General features: G+C 36.9%; 1 protein-coding gene and 1 pseudogene across 12 annotated transcripts in view, besides 1 other annotated feature; one reads left to right on the top strand and one right to left on the bottom strand.

Moving 5' to 3' along the window:
• NUBPL (NUBP iron-sulfur cluster assembly factor, mitochondrial) overlaps positions 1 to 22,828 on the bottom strand; it is a 299,821-nt gene that overhangs the window by 197,195 nt on the left and 79,798 nt on the right. The window contains exon 2 of one of the 12 annotated variants that reach the window (XM_047431786.1): positions 9,896 to 9,960. The exons of the other annotated variants lie outside the window; for them this stretch is intronic. The gene's annotated coding sequence lies outside the window, so the exon portion shown is untranslated. The remainder of the gene's footprint in view (positions 1 to 9,895; positions 9,961 to 22,828) is intronic. 12 annotated transcript variants of the gene reach the window in all.
• On the top strand, positions 1,887 to 1,991 carry RNU6-602P (RNA, U6 small nuclear 602, pseudogene; annotated as a pseudogene).
• Positions 10,620 to 10,820: a silencer, noted in NCBI's record as "peak2131 fragment used in MPRA reporter construct". NCBI's record gives its function as "represses an SCP1 promoter by STARR-seq MPRAs in K562 erythroleukemia cells {active_cell/tissue: K562}" and the evidence as "EXISTENCE:reporter gene assay evidence [ECO:0000049][PMID:32103011]".

Below are 22,828 nucleotides of genomic sequence, written 5' to 3'. Positions count from 1 at the left end.
GCCAAATCATGAGTGAACTCCCATTCATAATTGCTATAAAGAACATAAAATACCCAGGAATACAACTTACAAGGGACGTGAAGGACCTCTTCAAGGAGAACTACAAACCACTGTTCAAGGAAATGAGAGGACACAAACAAATGGAAAAATATTCTGTGTTCATGGATAGGAACATTCAATATTGTGAAAATGGCCATACTGCCCAAAGTAATTTATAGATTGAATGCTATTCCCATCAAGCTACCATTGACTTTCTTCATAGAATTAGAAAAAACTACTTTATATTTCATATGGAACAAAAAAAGAGCCTGCATAGCCAAGACAATCCTAAGCAAAAAGAACAAAGCTGGAGGCATCATGCTACCTGACTTCAAACTATACTACAAGGCTACAGTAACCAAAACAGCACGATACTGGTACCAAAACAGATATATGGACCAATGGAACAGAACAGAGGCCTGAGAAATAACACCACACATCTACGACCATCTGACCCTTGACAAACCTGACACAAACAGGCAATAGGAAAAGGATTCCCTATTTAATAAACAGTGTTGGGAAAACTGGCTAGCCATATGCATAAAACTGAAACTAGACCCCTTCCTTACACCTTATACAAAAATTAACTCAAGATGGATTGAAGACTTAAATATAAGACCTAAAACCATAAAAGCCCTAGAAAAAACCTAGGCAATACCATTCAGGACATAGGCATGGGCAAAGACTTCATGACTAAAACACCAAAAGCAATGGCAACCAAAGCCAAAATTGACAAATGGGATCTAATTAAACTAAAGAGCTTCTACACAGCAAAAGAAAACTATCATCAGAGTGAACAGGCAACCTACAGAATGGTAGAAAATTTTTGCAATCTATCCATCTGACAAAGGTCTAATAAACAGAATGTACAAGGAACTTAAACAAATTTACAAGAAAAAAACAACCCCATCAAAAAGTGGGTGAAGGATATGAACAGACACTTCTCAAAAGAAGATATTTATGTAGCCAACAAATATATGAAAAAATGCTCATCATCACTGGTCATTAAAGAAATGCAAATCAAAACCACAATGAGATAGCATCTCATGTGAGTTAGAATGGCGATCATTAAAAAGTCAGGAAACAGCAGATGCTGAAGAGGATGTGGAGACATAGAAATGTTTTTACACTGTTGGTGTACCATTTGATCCAGCAATCCCATTACTGGGTATATACCCAAAGGATTATAAATCATTCTACTATAAAGACACATGCACATGGATATTTATTGCAGCACTATTGACAATAGCAAAGACTTGGAACCAACCCAAATGCCCATCAATGATGGACTGGATAAAGAATATACACCACAGAATACTATGCAGCCATAAAAAGGATGAGTTCATGTCCTTTGTAGGGACATGGATAAAGCTGGAAACCATCATTCTCAGCAAACTAACACAGGAACAAAAACACCAAACACCGCATGTTCTCAATCATAAGTGGTAGTTGAACAATGAGAACAGATGGACACAGGGAGGGAAACATCACATACCAGGGCCTGTCGGTGGGTGGGGGGCAGAGGGAAGGGATAACATTAGGATAGATAACCTAAAGCATGTGGGGCTTAAAAGCCTAGATGACACGTTGACAGATGCAGCAAACCGCCATGGCACTTGTATATGTATGTAACAAATCTGCACATTCTGCACGTGTATCTCAGAACTTAAAGTATAATAAAATAAAATAAAGTAAAATAAAATAAAATAAATATAAATATTAAAAATTAATAATTTTAATGCATATTTTAATTCCTATAGTTAATATATGATAAATTATAAATTGAAAGCTCAGAAATGTGAGCAGATTCATCACCATGTTAAATGTGTTTCTTTAAAATTTAACAGGTACTCACTTTGGCAGCACCTAAACTGAAATTGGAATGATACAGAAGATTAGCATGGCCCCTGCAGAAGGATGATACGGAAAATTTAACAAAGAAAAAAGCACATTGAAATAAAAATGTATAGCATATACATTAAAAAGAATGTCATAAGCAAAGATATTAGAAAAGATAGAACTTTGTTGTAATAAAGTGAGAAGGATGCAGCATTGAGGCAACTAAAATAGTTATCTTTTCTTATGTATCAGTAAACAAAATTAAAATTGCCTAAAAGCATTTTGCTTTAATTATAAAAATTACCAGAAATGGGCCAGGTGCAGTGGCTCACGCCTGTAATCCCAGCACTTTGAGAGGCCAAGGCAGGTGGATCACGAGGTCAGGAGATTGAGACCATCCTGGCCAACATGGTGAAACCCCGTCTCTACTAAAAATACAAAAAATTAGCTGGGTGTGGTGGTGAGCGCCTATAGTCCCAGCTACTCGGGAGGTGAGGCAGGAGAGTGGTGTGAACCCAGGAGGCAGAGGTTGCCGTGAGCCAAGATCACACCACTGCACTCCAGCCTGGGTGACAGTGCGAGACTCCGTCTCGGAGAAAAACAAAAAATTACCAGAAATGAAATGTTGGCATAGTCTGAAGCCATATTTTTTAGTTAATTAAGAAAGACTCTACACAACAACTCATGATTACAGGTACAAATAAGTTTCTTTGCCTTAGAATTTTATTTTTTAAAAATGTGTACAGCAACTCCTCCACATAAACTTAATAGAAAAACTTACAACGTACTAACAAGTGAAAGTTAACAAAGAAACTTTGGAATCCACTGCCCTGTGAATAATAGCTTTTTGAAGAGGCCATTATTAGCTGAACTTATCATGATACAGATCATTATTTCCTACCTCCTCATATTTTCATGAGAGCTCATGCACTGAAGCATAAAAGATTCTTACTGTAAGTCAAACTATTTCAGTTGCCACAATGCTGCATCCTTCTCACTCTATTACAACAAAGTTCTATCTTTTCTAATAGGTGTGAATTTAATTAATCTTTTGTATGTAACCAGTTGGTTTCAAACAAATCTAGGGACTGCTTTTATATTATAAATTAATTGTTAAACTAGAATAAATGCCACTGTGACCACATCAAACTAAAGAGCTAGGTAAAAAGGAAATAGGCACAAGAACAGCTGCTTTACATCTTCCTATTAAAGTTGACATCTTTACATGTTCCAGGGATAACTCTGATCTAGAATCAGATCTTCTTTTTATAGGAATTCCATTGTTCGTGAATCAACTATGTAGTAGATGTCACCATGTACTTGGTATTAGCAATAAGCCTTAGAAACCTTTGTACTTTCTACTCTGTTCCCTGGCTCCAAAAATAAAGAGTTTGAAATGTAGCTGAACACCATGGTTCAGGAATATATGTCTAAAACAACATTATCACTTGAAATCATTTAACTAGAAGCATTAAATCCATTTCTTAAAATGGGGACAGAGAGTATAATCAAGAATATACAACCTCATTTTATAAATTTTAAATAATATTCAAACACAGGGTAAAGTAAAAGAAAAAATATTTATTTTTAAAGTTTTATAAAAAATAAACCTGTATTCGTATCTTGAAGAAAAGACATGCAAAGATACAAGAATGTTCAGAAAGGAAAGGGCATCCAGTACAAATTTTACAATTTCACTTCTCACCAGCTACTTCTCTAGTCCTTCCTTTCTGAAACCAAGGTCCTTTCTAATGAGAAATCAGACGCAAGAAAAGGAGTCACATGCATAATTGTTCTCTCAGAAGAACTTTAGGTGGCTGTGTGAGACAAAGTGGTTCCACCAGAAAATACTAGTACCACGAGAGGTTTACAATGCTCTACCTATTTACCTAGAAGAAAAGAAGAGGGGTTTAAAGAGAGAAGGTAAGTAAAGACTAGAAAGTGGAATGGGTCAAAACTCAAAACTTGAGCCATCAACCTGGACAACCAAAAGGCAATAAAATAATGCTGTATCTAAAAGTGGAAATGAGGGAGGAAGCAGAAAATTTGAGAAAGGAGCAGAAAATAAGACTATGAAGAAAATCATGTTTTTGTAATGTTATGGCTTCTATTACTCTTAATATTAAAATTCCATTTATCTTCAGCATACTTTTCTCTTTTGTACCATCTTGGAACCCTACTATGCCCATCTCAGGCATCCTACCATCTAAAAGCTGAAAGCCATTCAGGCATATCTTTCCTTTAATCCAATCTATTTTTCAGTTTTAAAAAAATGCCCCTCTTTTCCAATTCATCCTTTCCACAATCAAAACTCTCATTTTCTCATGTGGACAGACTGCATTAGGAAAATCATCTGGCTCAAGTAGATCACATTGAGAACTTCAGCTTTTCAGAAAATCTAAGTATTTTTTAAACAGAAACTATTAGCTCACTAGAATATAAATGGGAAAGAATGCATAAGGGATATTTTGGAGCAGGGGTGATACATCAGATTCTTTTCTACTCCGGGGCTAATTCACTGAGTACAGATATAAACTTGGTATCTCACTTCTAAAACTTGCCATCTTATATTAGAAAGTTTTACAGGATGTAGTAAAAGGAAGGCTAGAAACAAATAAGACATACTAGGACTTAAAGTAAAGATAATAAACACAGTTTACATACTGTTACTCCAGCAACCCATACACAACCATTTCCTGCCTCCAGCCTATTTTATATGTGCCTTGTCACCAGTAATTGATCATAGCATTCTTCCCTACTAAAACCAGGTAGAGTCTGAGAATCTTTTCAACATTATGTCCCAGGTAGTCAGTTGGTATTTAAGATGAAAACTATATGTCATCTCCAAGTTGTCAGGCATCTGGGAGAGAAAAATTTTAAAGATGACAGAAAGAACCACTTATATTCAGTCCAAAAAACAAAAACCAGTAGTAGCAGTTACATCACATAGTCACAAAGCACTACATTTATTTTAGACACTTTAGATATTTTATTTCACTGAATCCTTACAACAGCCTTATGGGGCAAGTAATATCTCCATTTTACAGTTGGGGAAAGTCAAGGTTATCCTCAGCCTTCTCTCAGCTTATGTAATCCCTTTCTTCCATGGCAGCCTCCAAAACAGCTCTCCATAACTATTCCCTCTTCTAATCTCCTTTAGCATCTGACACTTAATAAATGTTATCCTCTATGATTATTTATCTTTTTATGCCTTTATCCTGCCTCACCATCTAAATACTATATTCCCCTTGATTAGTAAAGTAAGTGCTCATAAACATGTTCATATAATGTCCAAAACAATTCTGTAAACAGCTAAAGAGTCCACAGTAAATAGCTATTAAAGGAGGCACAGTGGCGCACACCTGTAATCCCAGCACTTTGGGAGGCCGAGGCAGGTGGATCACTTGAGGTCAGGAGTTTAAGACCATCCTGGCCAACATGGTGAAACCCCGTCCCTACTAAAAATACAAAGATTAGCCGGCATGGTAGCGCGTGCCTGAAGTCCCAGCTACTCAGGAGGCTGAGGTGGGAGAATCACTTGAACCCAGAAGGTGGAGGCTGCAGTGAGCTGAAATCACGTCACTGCACTCCAGCCTGGGTGACAGAGTGAGACTCCCTTTCAAAAAAAAAAAAAGCTATTAAAGAAAACTTCCATAACCTATATTTGATCATCAGCCATTTTTAGTGCAGTGAAATATTATTTATTATCATAAATTAGTCACTATCTGTGACCTTGGGCAAACTGTCTTCATATGGCAAATGAAGTCTTTATATGACATACTGCATATGGAATAGCCGAAGATCAGAATATTAAACTAACCTGCCCAAAGTTAAAAAGCTAGCAACAGAAACATTAAGTATTTCAGTTAAGGCCTGTTTCTTCATTAAGTGCCATATTCTTTTCACATACATATCCAAGAAGCAGGAGGTTTACAGTTACTCCAACATACATGAGATTAATAGATAACACACAGTTGAAAGGTTAGCTAATATGAAAACAGGTTTCTTTCTATTGCTTGAAGATGCCCAGACAATTTCCCTGGAATGATTTAACAGTGTTCTGATATATCAAGTTACTCTGTAATTAATATGAATCATCTTTTAAACAGTAGTTGAATTTTTTTGTTTGTTCTGACATATCTTTTAGGTAGATTTCTGTTATTCTCAATCTTTCTGTTTATAGGGGACATTTCCAGCCTTATCAAATTCATATGATGTATAAGACTCTTTTTCTTCTATTAGTTCTGACTTCTAAAATTCTCAAGTTTTTGAAGTAGCAAATTCTCAAGTTTTTGAAGTAGCATTTTTAAGTAGCAATAGTAAGCTACAAGTACAAGGAATTCAAGAGCTGGAATTTAAAACTCACTAGCAATACATACCCATGAGTAGTAAAAAAGAAGAGTGTTGAGCAGCAAGTTAGAAAAATATGAATGACATACTGAGATAAGAAAAAGATATCTATAACAAGGGCTAAACACAAAATTACACTTGTTATAGTGACCAAAATGCCTGTTCATGTGTATATTATGAAGCAAGAAAAAACCTGTTTAAGGCTTTAACCTGTATTAAACATTTTAAAAAGACCAAATTATGACTGCCTGCATAAAAAGACCCAATGAAGGACAAAAATAGAAAATAAATAGAGGTACAGCCAAAGACAAGACACTGGCTTCGGTGTGGCCTTTATAACATTGTGGCTATAAGACTTATATAAACCGAATTTGTTTTGAAAGATAATATACTTACAAATACTTAGAGGCAAACTCTTTTCAATAAACATTGTTTAGATAATAAAAGCCTTACTATATTACCCATTTAGTTACACTAGAGATTTGAAAGCTTATATGAATGGCCCATATATCAGAGTATATAGATAAGAAATCATAGTAAAGAAGTAATAAAAAGCACAGTCATCAATGACTGCCATACCACATTAAATTGGAGGCTGCCCACACAGGTAATAAAACTTTGGATGTTGGGGGTCTGGTGATTTTGGTTACTGGCTACATTTGAAGTATTTCTAGAACAGTGACTACATTAAAGATTTCATTCTGTGCCATTTAATATTTAGGCAATTATCAATTTATATAATAGCTGTACCGCTAAAAAAGACTGCATAAAAATTACATTTCTTTAAAAAGGAATTTGATTTTAAAGGCTTACTACATAAGACAATTCTTTCTCCTCACTCACTCATTCAACATATTTATTGAGTGCCTTCTACAGGCATACTTTTGTTTTATTTTGCTTTGCCTTATTGTACTTTGCAGTTACTGCATTTTTTACAAATCAAAGGTTTGTGCAACCCTACATTGAGCAAGTCTATTGGTGCCATTTTTCCAATAGCATGTGCTCACTTCATTTCTATATGTCACATTTTGGCAATTCTGACAATATTTCACACTTTTTTATTATTAGTATGTCTATCATGGTGATATTTGATGTTACTACTGTAATTGTTGTGGGGCACCATGAACTGCACCCACATAAGATGCAAACCTATTCAATATATGTTGTGTGTGTGTTCTGACTGCTCGACTGACCAGCCCATCCCCCTATCTCTCTCTCTCTCTCCTCAGGCCTCCCTATTCCTTCAGACAACAATATTGAAATCAGGCCAATTAATAATGCTATCATGGCTTCTAAGTGTTTAAGTGAAATAAAAAGTTATATGTTTCTCACTTTAAATGAAAAGATACACATGATTATGCTTGGTAAGGAAATTGTGTCAAAAACCAAGATAGGCCAAGAGCTAGGCCTCTTGAACCAAACAGCCAAGTTGTGAATGCAAAGGAAAAGTTCTTGTAAGAAACTAAAAGTGCTACTCCCATGAACACATAAATAAAAAGAAAGCAAAACAGCCCTATCACTGAGACAGAGAAAGCTTTATTGGTCTGGATAGAAGATCAAACCAGCCACAACATTCTCTTAACCCAGAATGTAATCTAGAATATGGCCCTAACTCTCTTCAATTCTATTAAAGCTGAGAGAGGTGAGGAAGATACAGAAGAAAAGTTGGAAGGTAGCAGATATTGGTTCATGAGGTTTAAGAAAAAAAAAGCCATCTCTATAACATAAAAGTACAAGGTGAAGAAGCAAGTGCTGATGTAGAAGGTGTAGCAAGTTATCCAGAAGATCTAGCTAAGATAATGGAAGGAAGTAGCTAAACAACAGATCTTCAATGTAGATGAAATGGAAGAAGATACCAGGACTTTCACAGCTAGGGGAAAAAAGTTAATGCTTGGCTTCAAATAATAGGTTTACTCTCTTAATAGGGGCTAATGCAGCTGGTAACTTTAAGTTGAATCCAATATTCACTGACCATTTTGAAAATACAAGGGCTCTCAAAAATTATGCTAAATCTACTCTGCCTGTGCTCTATAAATGGAAAAATAAAGCCTGGCTGACAGCACAGCATGGCTTACTAATATTTTAAGCCCACTGTTGAAACCTTTTTGTCACCCAGGCTAGAGTGCAGTGGTACCATCTCGGCTCACTGCAGCCTCAACCTCCTGGGTTCAAGTGATCCTCCTGCCTCAGCACCCAAAGTAGCTGAGACTACAGATGCTCTCTGCCATGCCTTGCTAATTTTTGTATTTTCAGTAGAGACGGGGTTTTGCCATGTTGCCCAGGCTGGTCTCAAACTCCTGAACTCAGGCAATCCACCCGCATCAGCCTCCCAAAGTGCTAGGATTACAGGTGTGAGCCACCATGCCCGGCCAATTCCTTTCAAAATATTACTGCTCATTGACAATGCACCTGGACACCCAAGAGCTCTGATGGAGATGTGCAATCAGATGAATGTTGTCTTCATGCCTGCTAACAAAACATCCATTCTGCAGCCTGTGGATCAAGAAGTAATTTTGACTTTCAAGTCTTATTATTACAGAAATACACTTCATAAGGCTAAAGCTGCCATAGATAGTAATTCCTCTAACGGATCTATCAATTGAAAATCTCCTGGAAAGGATTCATTATTCTAGATGTCATTAAGAACATTCATGATTCATTGGAGGGGATCAAAGTATCAAAATGAACAGGAGTTAGGAAGAAGTTGATTCCAACCCTCATGGATGACACTGAGACTAGAATTAGAAATGGAGCCTGAAGATGGGACTTAATTGCTGCAATCTCATGGTAAAACAAACAGATAAGGAGTTGCTTTTTATGATAAGCAAAGAAAGTACTTTCTTGAGATGGAATCTACTCTGTGAAGATGCTGTGAACTTTGTTGAAATGACAACAAAAAGTTTAGAATGTTATATAAACTTAATTGATAAAGCAGTGACAGGGCTTGAGAGAATTGACTCCAATTTTGAAAGAAGTTCTACTGTGGGTAACTGCTATCAAACAGCATTACATGCTATAGACAAATCATTCATGAAAAGAAGAGTCAATCAATGTGACAAACATCATTTTTGTCTGAAGAAATTGCCATAGCCGGGGCAGGCACAGTGGCTCACACCTGTAATCCCAGCACTTTGGGAGGCCGAGGTGGGTAGATCATGAGGTCAGGAGATTGAGACCATCCTGGCTAACACTGTGAAACCCCATGTCTACTAAAAAATAGAAAAAATTAGCCAGGTGTGGTGGCGGGTGCCTGCAGTCCCAGCTACTCTGGAGGCTGAGGCAGGAGAATGGCATGAACCCAGGAGGCGGAGCTTGCAGTGAGCTGAGATCATGCCACTGCACTCCAGCCTGGGCAACAGAGCGAGACTCTGTCTCAAAAAAAAAAAAAAGAAAAAAAAAAGTTAATTGCCATACCCAACCCAACATTCAGCAACTACCACCCTGATCAGTCAGCAGCAATTCACATGCAGGCAACACCATCCAAAGGCAAAAAGATTACCATTCACTGAAGGCTAATGATCATTAGCATTTTTAAGTAATAAAATATTTTTAATTAAGGTACATACATATTTTTAGACATAATGCTATTTCACACTTCATGGACTACAGTATAGTGTAAACATAACTTTTATATGCAATGGGAAACCAAAAAATTCATGTTGCTTACTTTATTGAGACACTTGCTTTATTGTGGTGGTCTGGAACAAGACCTGCAACATCTCTGAGATATACCTGTATGTACCAAGTATGAAGTTTGGTGTTAGTGCTATAGTAGCAAAGAAAAACAGACATAATATCTTCCCCCATGAAATACAAAGTCAATAGGAGAGACAGATACTAACCACACAATTGTTGTGGGAAGTCAGGGACCCTGAACAGAGGAACCAGCTGGAGCCGCAGCAGAGGAACACAAATTGTGAAGATTTCATGGACATTTATCACTTCCCTAATAATACTCTTATAATATCTTATGCCTGTCTTTACTTCAGCCTCTGAACATAAATTGTGAAGATTTCCTGGACATTTATCAGTTCCCAAATAATGCTCTTATAATTTCTTATGCCTGTCTTACTTTAATCTCTTAATCCTGTTATCTTCATAAGCTGAGGATGTACGTCACCTCAGGACCACTATTGTACAAATTGACTGTAAAACATGTGCGTTTGAACAATACGAAATCAGTGCATCTTGAAAAAGAACAGAATAACAGCGATTTTCAGGGAACAAGGAAAGACAACCATAAGGTCTGACTGCCTGCGGGGTCGGGCAGAATACAGCCATATTTTTCTTCTTGCAGACAGCCTATAAACAGACCTGCAAGTAGGAGAGATATCGCTAAATTCTTTTCCTAGCAAGGAATATAATATTAAGACCCTAGGAAAAGAATTGCATTCCTCGGGGGAGGTCTATAAACGGCTGCTCTGGGAGTGTCTGTCTTATGCAGTTGAGATAAGGACCAAAGTACGCCCTGGTCTCCTGCAGTACTCTCAGGCTCACTAGAGTGGGGAAAAACCCCACCCTGGTGAATTTAAGGTCAGAACAGTTCTCTGCTCTCAAAGCCTGTTTTCTGTTGTTTAAGATGTTTATCAAGACAATACGTGCACAGCTGACCATAGAACCTCATCAGTAATTCTAATTTTGCCCTTTGCCTTGTGATCTTTGCTTTTGTCCTTGCCCTGTTTCCTCAGAAGCATGTGATCTTTGTTCTCTTTTTGCCCTTTGAAGTATGTAATCTTTGTGACCCACTTCCCGTTCGTACACCCCCTTCCCTTTTGAAGTCCTTGATAAAAACCTGCTGGTTTTGCGGCTCAGGTGGGCATCACAGTCCTACTGATACGTGATGTCACCCCCAGAGGCCCAGCTGTAAAATTCCTCTTTTTTTACTCTTTCTCTTTATTTCTCAGACCGGCTGACACGTAGGGAAAATAGAAAGAACCTATGTTAAAATATGGGGGGTGAGTTCCCCCGATACACAATCACTAGATAAATGTAAATTTGTAACCAAAACTAGTGCTATGAAGGAAATTATAGGATTTGGCCTTGTCACAGGGTCTTTGGTACAAAGGAAAACCTCTCCATAATTTAAAAACGCAACTCACAAACTTGATGGTTTTATAAATTTTGGTTTTTATATATTGATGTCTTTAAAATCAGGGCACACATATTAGAAATGTTATTACTTTATATAAATGCCATCATTTAAAGAAAAAGCAACTTTATTTTTTAATCATTTTTAATTGACAAAATTTATATATATTTATGGTATACAAAGCAATGTTCTCATATATGTATATACTATGGAGTGATTCAATCAAGCTTATTAATATAAGCTTGTCAATTTTTTGTGGTGAGAACACTTAAAATGTACTCTCTTAGCAATTTTCAAGTGCACAATGCATTAGTATTTTAACTACAGTCCCCACGCTGTACAATGGCTCTCCTCAACTTATTTCTCCTACCTAACTGAAACTTTGTGTCCTTTGGCCAATATCTCCCCATTCTCCCATTTGGAACCCCTGGTAACCACCATTCAACTCTCTAATTCTCTGAGTTCCACTTTTTTTAGATTCCGCACATAAGTGAGATCACATGATATTTGTCTTTCTATGCCTGGCTATTTCATTAAGCTTAATGTCTTCCAGCTTTACTCATATAGTTGCAAATGACAGAATTTCTTTCTTTTATGAGGCTGAGTAGTATATATATGATATATTCTGTATATATATCACATTTTCTTTATCCATTCATTCAACCACATTTTCTTTATCCATTCATTCATTGATGGACACTTAGTGATGTTGAGCATTTTTTCATGCACCTATGGGTCATTTGCATGTCTTCTTTTGAGAAATGTCTATTCAGATCCTTTGCAGATTTTTCTTTTTTTCTTTTTTTTTTTTTTTGAGACAGAGTCTCGCTCTGTTGCCCAGGCTGGAGTGCAGTGGCACTATCTCAGCTCACTGTAAGCTCTGCCTCCCAGGTTCATGCCATTCTCCTACCTCAGCCTCCTGAGTAGCTGGGACTATAGGCACCCACCACCACACCTGGCTAATTTTTTTGTATTTTTAGTAGAGATGGGGTTTCACCATGTTAGCCAGGATTGTCTCGATCTCCTGACCTTGTGATCCACCTGCCTCAGCCTCCAAAAGTGCTGGGATTACAGGCGTGAGCCACCACGCCCGGCCACACATTTTTCAATACAGTTATTTGTTTTCTTGCTATTAAGTTTCTTAAATATTTTGGATATTAACCCTTTATCAGATGTGTGGTTTAAAAATACCATCTACCATTCCATAGGTTACAAAAGAAAGAAACTTTAAATGTGTATTACACAATACCTGAGATAACCCATCCTTAAAAAAAATGTGATTCATGCTAAAAAACCTAAGATAAAATTTGAGAAGTAATTTCACATTTCAAAAAATATCCAAAGATCTGGGCAGGGTGTGGTGGCTCACTCCTGTAATGCCAGCACCTTGGGAGGCCAAGAAGTGTGGATCACTAGAGGCCAGGAATTTGAGACCAGCCTTAATCCCAGCTACTCAGTTGGCTGAGGCACAAGAATTGCTTGAACCCAGGCGGCAGAGGTTGCAGTGAGCTGAGATCCTGCCACTGCACTCCAGCATGGGCAACATAGCAAGACTCTGTCTCAAAAAACAAAAAAAAATCCAAAGACGTGGAACAGTATCTGCTATAGTTTAGATACTGGCCTCTCCAAATCTCATGTTGAAATGTGATCTCCATCATTAGAGGCAGGGATTAATGAGAGGTGTCTGGGTTGTGCGACAGATCCCTCATGAATGGCTTGGTGCTATCCTCATGGTAATGAGTAAGCTCTATCTCTATTAGTTCCTATGTGTGCTGGTTGTTAAAAAAGAGCCTGGCACCTTGCTGCCCTCCTTGATTCCACCCTCACGTTGTGATCTCTGCATATACTAGTTTCCCTTCCTTTACCATGAGTAGAAGCAGCCTAAGGCTTTCACTAGATGCCCAATCTTCCAGCCAGAAAAATCATGAGCCAAATACACCTTTTTTCTTTATATATTACCCAGCCTCAGGAATTCTTCTATAGCAACTTAAATGGACTAAGACAGTGTTAATAATTTAAAGCCGCTTTTAAACACAGGCATTTTAATTACATTTCTCCTTCAAAGAAGTAGCTAATAGACATTAAGTATGGAGACAGTATTTTTTCAATGAAAGCCATTCCTGGGGCCAGGTGCGGTGACTAACGCCTGTAATCCCAACACTTTGGGAGGCCGACATGGGTGGATCATGAGGTCAGGAGATTGAGACCATCCTGGCTAACACTGTGAAACCCTGTCTCTACTAAAAATACAAAAAATTAGCCGGGTGTGGTGGCGGGCGCCTGTAGTCCCAGCTACCTCGGAGGCTGAGGCAGGAGAATGGTGTGAACCTGGGAGGCGGAGCTTGCAGTGAGCTGAGACTGTGCCACTGCACTGCAGCCTGGGTGACACAGCAAGACTCCGTCTCAAAAAAAAAAAAAAAAAAAAGAAAGAAAGCCATTCCCAAAAGAAGCTTATTTAGTTAGGCTCTATCTTTACACACATATGCAATTACTTGAACTTATATCAATACAAACTAATTCATGTCTTATCAACTTTCTCTGTATACATGGCTAATATTTTTGACAACATGATTATCCCTGAAAAAGTGAATCTTGGGAGGCTGAGGCAGGCAGATCACCTGAGGTCGGGAGTTTGTGACCAGCCTGACCAGCATGGCAAAACCCCATCTCTACTAAAAATACAAAATTAGCCGGGCATGGTGGCACATGTCTGTAATCCCAGCTACTCAGGAGGCTGAGGCAGGAGAATCACTTGAACCTGAGAGGCGGAGGTTGCAGTGAGCGGAGATTGCGCCATTGCAATCCAGCCTGGGCAACAAGAGTGAAACTCCGTCTCAAAACAAAAAAAAAGTGAATTTTTAATTTGAATCTCCTAAAGGCAAAGAGCTAAGGGTGTTAAAGTCTAATGGAAGATACTATGCAAATATTAAAAAGAGTATTTGCTCCTTCTTGACAACATAAAATGTATACTTAACATTTTTAAAAAATAACTTCAGCAGTCTCAACAGCATGTGCATAATACCTTATCTCCTCATATTTTTAATTTCTGAAATGTCAACTTAGGTGAGACTTTATTATACAAAAATGGTTACTTGTATCACATATTTAAAGTTGTATGTTTTTAAACTTTTTGCAAACCTTAAAAGTTAAAATTTCAAAACTCTAAAAGTGCAAAACTTAAAAGTTCATTTCACAAATCTTGTTGCGTATATCATTTATAATTTTACTAGAAAAATATAAACAATTACTTTCACATTTTATCTTCATGTTCAATCATTACAGATTAAATTCCCCTAAACAATTATCTTCAATTATAAACCAGTGAAATTAAGTTGCCTAAAACATTTAAAACTAAATTTACAAATCAAATAAATCTGATTTTCTCAAACCTTTCAAATGAGCGACAGGGTAGCCTTGCAAATCTAACAACCAAAATACATAAGCAACTCTTGTAAATTTAATAAGCCAAACTAATAAGTGGAATAAATCCAATTATCTTAAAGGTTCTGACACTGTTTAGAAATTTAACCAAATTATTTTACATCTTTCATATTAAAATCCTCCTAAGTATTGTGTAACAGTGAAGTAAAAAAACAAAACTTGGGGCCAGGAGCATTGGCTCATGCCTGTAAATCCCAGCACTTTGGGAGGCCGAGGCAGGCAGATCTTGAGGTCAAGAAATCGAGACCATCCTGTCCAACATGGTGAAACCCCGTCTCTACTAAAAATAAAAAAAATTAGCCAGGTGTAGTGGTGGGCACCTGTAATCCCAGCTACTGGGGAGGCAGAGGCAAGAGAATTGCTTGAACCCGGGAGGCGGAGGTTGCAGTGAGCCAAGATAGCACCACTGCGCTCCAGCCTGGCGAAAACACGAGACTGTCTCAAAACAAAAACAAGACTTCGATCCTGAGGACTTTGCAGAATAGAACTAACATATCAGTAGTGAATGGACTGCCTCACTCATGTGAAACAGTAATAAACTATCTTGTTTAACCTACTATTTCATTGGGTTTTCCTTCGTTCACAACCAAATGTGATCATAGTTAATGTATAGTCTATGTTTAATTTGAATTAAATATTTCAAGTTAAAATAACAAAGCTAACAGGGCAGATTATCTGATATGTCTGAAAGGTTTCAAAACACCTTTAACACAAATACACACATGTAATATCACCACGACTATAAAACTTATTCCCAAACATAATGTTAAAAGTGTTAGTACTGATGGATTTACTTTACATCATAAACATAGGTAGTATGCTTACCAAGATATGGTGTAGGAATATGGATTATCAGTCAGTGCATCAAGACACAGGACCTAGGCGCTTCTTCCAGGAGAGTTCTACCTGACTAGCATGTGAATTTCCTTCTTATGGTACTAGGATTTTTCCAGTCCATGGCTTTTCTTACAACCCAATATATCATACATACTTTTAATTTTTTAAAGCAACCTCTTAATACAACTTTTAATTGCCTGGTTTGAATTGATGATATTCTGTACACCATAGTCAGATTCCACTAAATCTTTTTACTGACTGATTGGACTCTGCCTCCTTTTCTTCTCTTTTTCATCTTGTTCAATATCACAAAGCTAATTCATTTTGCTGACAGAAAAGATACAACAGAAAAATCAGTTTTTAGCTTATTGTTATTACTTTTACAAAATGACAACCAACAATTAGGTATACTATAACTTATGGCTATAAAACAGATTGTTTTGTGTCCACCTTTATTTATTACTTGGCTTTAATGGATGGCTACATGTACAACCTTATTAACCATAAGAAATTAAAAGTAGCCTTTTCCAAAAGGTGACCAGATATCGTGGTAAGGCCAAGAAAACAGTCCACATTTTCAATGGGTACAAATAAGCTAGATAGCCAAAACGGCTGAAAACAGTGAGTTCAAAGTGGACAATCAGTTTCCCCACCATCTTGGGTTCCTTGGCAGAAGATCTGTCCCAGCCTCAACCCACAGGAAGCATCATGAACGCCTAAAGGGAGAAATATCCCTGAGGACAGCCAAAGGCAATGAGGGGAGGTGGGACCACCATCCCTAGCCCTGGAAACTCTGATCTGTAACTCTGTCAAAGGAAATGCCAAATCAGACTGACTGTTCAGCAGCACCACATTGTAGGAGGTGTGTTACACAGGTCCCCTGTGCACAAACCCCTAGCCAGCCTTCCAACATTGCCAGAATATTCCATTTGAGACCTCCCCCATTTGAGATGGGCAGTGCTCTGATCAAATACTGAATACTAGAGCTCAGGCAAACCTGGGCTTAAGGTGCCATTTAGTGCCAAAAAGGGGGCAGCAACCTAACAAGAAAAAAAAGAAATTCAAAAATACAAACTCTAAAGAAACATATCCAATAAAAACCAAAGCAAGCCAGAGACGGAAGACTGGAATAAATAACTAATCCTTCATTGCAAATACATAGATGTACATCCACAAGAAACAGCAAACAGGGAACTGACCTCCTCAAATGGACAAGCCAAGGAACCAATGACTGGCCCTAACAAGATGGCTAAATGTGAGTTTTTGACCGAGAATTCAAAATAGCACTTTTAAGGAAACTCAGTGATCTCCAAGATAACACAGAAAAACAAGTCAGAAATTTAACAGAGAAATTTAACAAAGAGACTGAAATATTAAAAATAAATCAAGCAGAAATTTTGAAACTGAGAAATATGTTTGCTGAAGTGAAAAATTCATTAGAAGTAGTCAGCAGCAGACTGGATCAAGCAAAGGAAAGAATCAGTAAGCTCAAAAACAAGACTATTTGAAAACACACAAAGGAGAAAAAAGAAAGAAAAGGAACAAAGATTGCCTACAAGATATAGAAAATTATCTCAAAAAAAAAACAAATTTGAGAAGTGTTGGTGCTGAAGAGGGAGCTGAGCAAGAGAAAGGGATACAAAGCTTATTTTTTTAAAAAATTAAACATTCCAAATGCTACAAAGATATAAATATCCATGTTCAGGAAGATCAGAGAACACCAAATAGATTCAACCCAAAAAAGACTACCCTAAGGCATATAATAATCAAACTCAAAAAGATCAACGACAAAGAAAGGATACTAAAAGCAGCAAGAGAAAAGAGATAAATAACATATAAAGGAGCTCCAATTCATTTGGCAACACACTTCTCAACAGAAACCATACAGGCCAGAAGGGAAAAGAATAACATTTTCAAAATGCCAAAATTAAAGAAAAAGAACCTGATGGCCAAGCGTGGTGGCTCATGCCTGTAATCCCAGCACTTTGGGAGGCCAAGGTTGAGTGGATCACATGAGGTCAGGAGTTCAAGACCAGCCTGGCCAAAATGGTGACTCCCCATCTCTGCTAAAAATACAAAAATTAGCCAGGCGTGGGGGCGGGTGCCTGTAATCCCAGCTACTTGGGAGGCCGAGGTACAAGAATCGCCTGAATCTGGGAAGTGGAGGTTGCAGTTAGCCAAGATCATGCCACTGCACTCTAGCGTGGGCAGTAGAGCAAGACTCAGTCTCAAAAAAAAAGCGGGGGAAGGGCAGGGAAGGGAAGGGGACTTGCCATCCAAGAATAGTATATCCAGGAAAGCTATCCTTCAAATATGAAGAAAAGATAGTCTTTCCCAGACAAAGAATGAGAGAATTCACCACCACCAGATCCATCACACAAGAAATCCTAAAGGGAGTTCTTCAATCTGAAAGAAAAAACCACTAATGTGCAAAAGAAAACATTTAAAAGTATAAAACCCACTGGTAAGATTAGTACACAGATAACTCCAGGATACTCTATCTAATGCTATAATTATGGTATGTAGTCCACTCATAACTTTAGCATGACGTCTAAAAGAGAAATCTATCGAAAACAGTAATAGCTATAAGAACCTGTTAAGAGACAGGTAAAATAAAAACGTAAAATGACACAACAAAAGTCAAAATGTGGGGGGGGGGGTGTAAAGTATAGAAGTTTTAAAAAATTCTTTATTTGTTTCTATTATTTCTTTGTGATCTGACCCAGGTTGTAATCTCTCACTAAAATAGCTTGTTATGTTTTTTTGCAAGTCTCATACTAACCACATTGCAAAAACTTATAATAAATAAACTAATATTAAAAAGCAACAAATTAAAACATACTACCAGAGAAAACTCAGGGTTAACCACAAAAGAAGACAATAACAAAGGAAGAGAGGAGTTACAAGTCAACCAAAAAATAAGAAACAAAATGGCAGTAGTAAAGTCTTTACTTATCAATGAAAACACTGAATGTAAATGGACTCAAATCTCTAATTAAAAGACAAAGTGGCTGAAGAGACAAAGAAATAAGACCCAACTATATGCTGCCTATTAGAAATGCACCTCACAGCTGGGTGCAGTGGCTCACGCCTGTAATCCCAACACTTTAGGAGGCTGAGATGGGCGGATCACGAGGTCAGGAGATCGAGACCATCCTGGCTAACACAGTGAAACCCCGCCTCTACTAAAAAATACAAAAAATTAGCCGGGTGTGGTGGCGGGCGCCTGTAGTCCCAGTTACTCGGGAGGCTGAGGCAGGAGAATGGCGTGAACCCGGGAGGCGGAGCTTGCAGTGAGCCAAGATTGCGCCACTGCACTCCAGCCTGGGCGACAAAGCGAGACTCCATCTCAAAAAAAAAAAAAAGAAAAGAAAAAGAAATGCACCTCACATATAAAGACACACATAAACTGAAAGTAAGGAGATTGGAGAAGATATTCCATGCAATCGGAAACTTTAAAAAGAGCAGGAATAGCTATATTTGTATCAGGTAAGATGACTACAAATCATACTGTGCAAAAAAGAACAAACAAGGTCATTCAATAATAATAAAGGGGTCAATTACCAAGAAGATATAATAACTATATATATCTATGCATCCAATACCCAGTACCCAAGCATATAAAGCAAACATTAATAGATCTAAAGGAAGAGACAGACTGCAATATGGTAATAGTAGGGGATTTCAATACCCTACTCTCAGTAAAGGATGGATCATCTAGACAAAAAATTCACAAACATCAGAGTTAAACTGCACACTAGACCAAATACACTTAACTGACATTTACAGAACATTTCACCCAACAACTGTAGAACATACACTCTCTTTATTGCCACATAAAACATTATCCAGAAGATACCAAATCTTAGGCCACAAAACAAGTCTCAACAAATACAAAAAAGTAGAAATCATATCAAGTATCTTTCTGGACTACAGTGGAATAAAACTAGAAACTACTAATAGGAGACACCACAAAAAAATACACAAACAGATGGAAATTAAACAACATGTCCAGAATGACCAATGGGTCAATGAAGAAATTAAGAAGAAAATTTAAAAATTTCCTGAAACAACTGAAAATGGAAAATACAGCATACCAAAATCTACGGTACAGGAAAAACAGTATGAAGATGGAAGTCTATAGCAATAAACACCTACATTTTAAAAAAAGAAAGACTTCAAATAAATAACTTAACACAACATATCAATGCATCTCAAGAAACTAAAAAGAAAGAATAAGCCAACCCAAAATTAACAGAAGGGAAGAAATAATAAAGATCAGGGCAAAAATAAATGAAATTGATACTGAAAGAAACCCAGAAGATCAATGAAACAAAAAGTTGATTTTTTAAACAAGACAAGCAAAATTGACAAATCTTTAGCTAGATTAACTAAGAAAAAAGAGGGATGACCCAAAAAAAATAAAATCAGAAACTATAAAGGAGATATAACAACTCAAACCACAGAAATACAAAGAATCATTTAAAATTATAAGAAACAACAATACACCAACAAATTGGAAAACCTACAAGAAACGGATAAATTGCTGGACACATACAACCTATCAAGATTGAACCAGGGAGAAACAGAAAACTTCAACTAACCAATAAGTAATGAGATCAATGCCATAATAAAGAGTCTCCCACCAAAGAAAAGCCCAGGACCTGGTGGTTCCACTGCTTAATTCTACCAAAAATTTAAAGAAGTAATGCCAATTCTATTCAAACTCTTCAAAAAAAATAAATAAGAGGGAATACTTCCAAACGGATCCTATAAGGCCAGAATTACCCTGATACCAAAATAAAACAAGAACACAACAAAAAGAAAACTATAGACCCAACAACACTAATGAACATAGATGCAAAAATCCTCAACAAAATAGCAGCGAACTGAATTCAACAACACATTAAAAATATCATTCACCATGAATAAGTGGGATTCATCCCAGGGATACAAGAATGGTTCAACATTCGGAAATCAATACATGTAATACATCACATCAACAGAACTAAGAGGAAATATCATGTGATCATTTCAATACATGCTGAAAAGCATTCAATAAAATTCAACATCCCTTTATGATAAAAATCCTCAACAAACTGGGTATGGAAGGAACACACTTCAAAATAATAAAGGCCGTATAACCCACAGCTAACATCACGTTGAACAAAGAAAAAAATGAAAACCTTTCATCTAAGATCTGGAACAAGACAAGATGCCCACTTTCACCACTTGTATTCAACAATAATACTGGAAGTTTTGGCCAGAGCAATGAGGCAAGAGAAAGAGATAAAGCATATACAAATTGGAAAGGAAGAAATCAAATTAGTCTTGCTCACAGATAACATGATATTATACATAGAAAAGCCTAAAAACTCCACCAAAAAACTGTTAGGACAGATAAATGAATTGAGTAAAGTTGCACTACACAAAATCAACATATAAAAACCAGTAGCACTTATATACACCAACAGCAAACAATCTAAAAAAGAAATCAAGAAAGCAGTCCATCTGCAAGAGCTACAAAGAATATAAAATACTTAGAAATCAATTTCACCAAAGAAGTAAAACATCTATTCAAGGAAAACCATAAAACACTGATGAAAGAAACTGAAGAGGACATTTTTACAAAGGGAAGATATTCCATGCTCATGAATTGGAAGAATTAATATTACAGATTCAATGCAATCCCTACCAAATACCAATGACATTCTTCATAAAAATAGCAATAATAATCCAAAAATGTATACAGAACCACAAAAGGCCCAGGATAGCCAAAACAACCCTGAGCACAAAGAACAAAGATGGATGCATCACACTACCTAACTTCAAAATATACTACAAAGTTACAGTAACCAAAACAATATAGTACTGGCATAAAAACACAGACATAGACCAATGGAACAGAATAGAGAACACATAAATAAATCCACACTCATTTTACAGCCAACTCATTTTCAACAAAGATCCCAAGAACATACACTGTGGAAAGGACAGTCTCCTCAATAAACAGCGCTCAGAAAACTAGGTAACCACATGAGGAAGAATGAAATTAGACCCCTATTTCTCACCATGTACAAAAATCAAATTAAAACGGATTAAATATTTAAGTGCAAGACCTAAAACTATGAAACTACTAGAAGAAAACATTAAGTAAATGCTCCAGAACGTTAGTCTGGGCAAAGATCTTTAAATGTAAGAACTCAAAAGTACAGGCAACCAAGGCAAAAACAAATGAATGGGATCATACCAAGCTAAAAAGCTTCTGCACAGCTAAGGAAACAATCAACAAGGAGAAAAGACCACCCACAGAATGAGAGAAAATATTTGTAAACTATCCATCTGACAAGGGATTAATAAAGAGAACATAGCAGGAGTTCAAACAACTCAATAGTAAAATAATAATAACCTGATTTTTAAATAGGCAAAAGATTTGAATAGATGTTTCTCAAAAGAAGACATACAAAGGCCAACAAGTATATTTTTAAAATGTTCAACATCACTAATGATCAGAGAAATGCAAATCAAAACCACAATAACACAGTATAAAACGGCCAGTTAAAATGGCTTTTGTCAAAAGGACATGAGGTAACAGATGCAGGTGAGGATGTAAATAAAGGGAAACCCTCCTACAGTGTTGGTAGGAATGTAAATTAGCACAGCCACTATGGAAACTAGTGTGGAGCTTCCTTAAAAAACTAAAAATAGAACTACCATTTGATCCAGCAATTTGACTGCTGGGTATATATCCAAAATAAAGAAAATCAATATATCAAACAGATACTGCACTTCCACGTTTATCAGGGCATCATTCACAAGACCTAAAATATGGAATAAACCTAAGTACTCCTCAATAGGCATATGGATAAACAAAATATTATGCATATATACACAATGGAATATTAATCAGCCATAAAAAAGAATGGAATCCTGTCATGTTCAATAACATGAGTGAAGCTGGAGGTCATTACATTAAGTGAAATAAGCCAGGCCTAGAAAGACAAATATCACATGTTCAGACTCATATGTGGAAGTTAAAAAATATGGATTTGTTGAAGATAAAGAGTAGTAGACTGGTGGTTACCAGAGGCCAAGAAGGGATGAAAAAAGGGGGTAAGGGAGTGATGAAGAGAGGTTCATTAATCAGTACAAATAAATACACAGTTATATAAAAGAAATAAGATTGGCCAGGCGCGGTGGCTCATGCCTGTAATTCCAACACTTAGGGAGGGT

This window comes from Homo sapiens, chromosome 14 (assembly GCF_000001405.40).
Source record: "Homo sapiens chromosome 14, GRCh38.p14 Primary Assembly".
In the NCBI taxonomy this organism is placed as follows: Eukaryota; Metazoa; Chordata; class Mammalia; order Primates; family Hominidae; genus Homo; species Homo sapiens.
The sequence above is the reverse complement of the archived record's forward strand: the minus strand, read 5'-3'. Positions and strand labels throughout refer to the sequence as shown.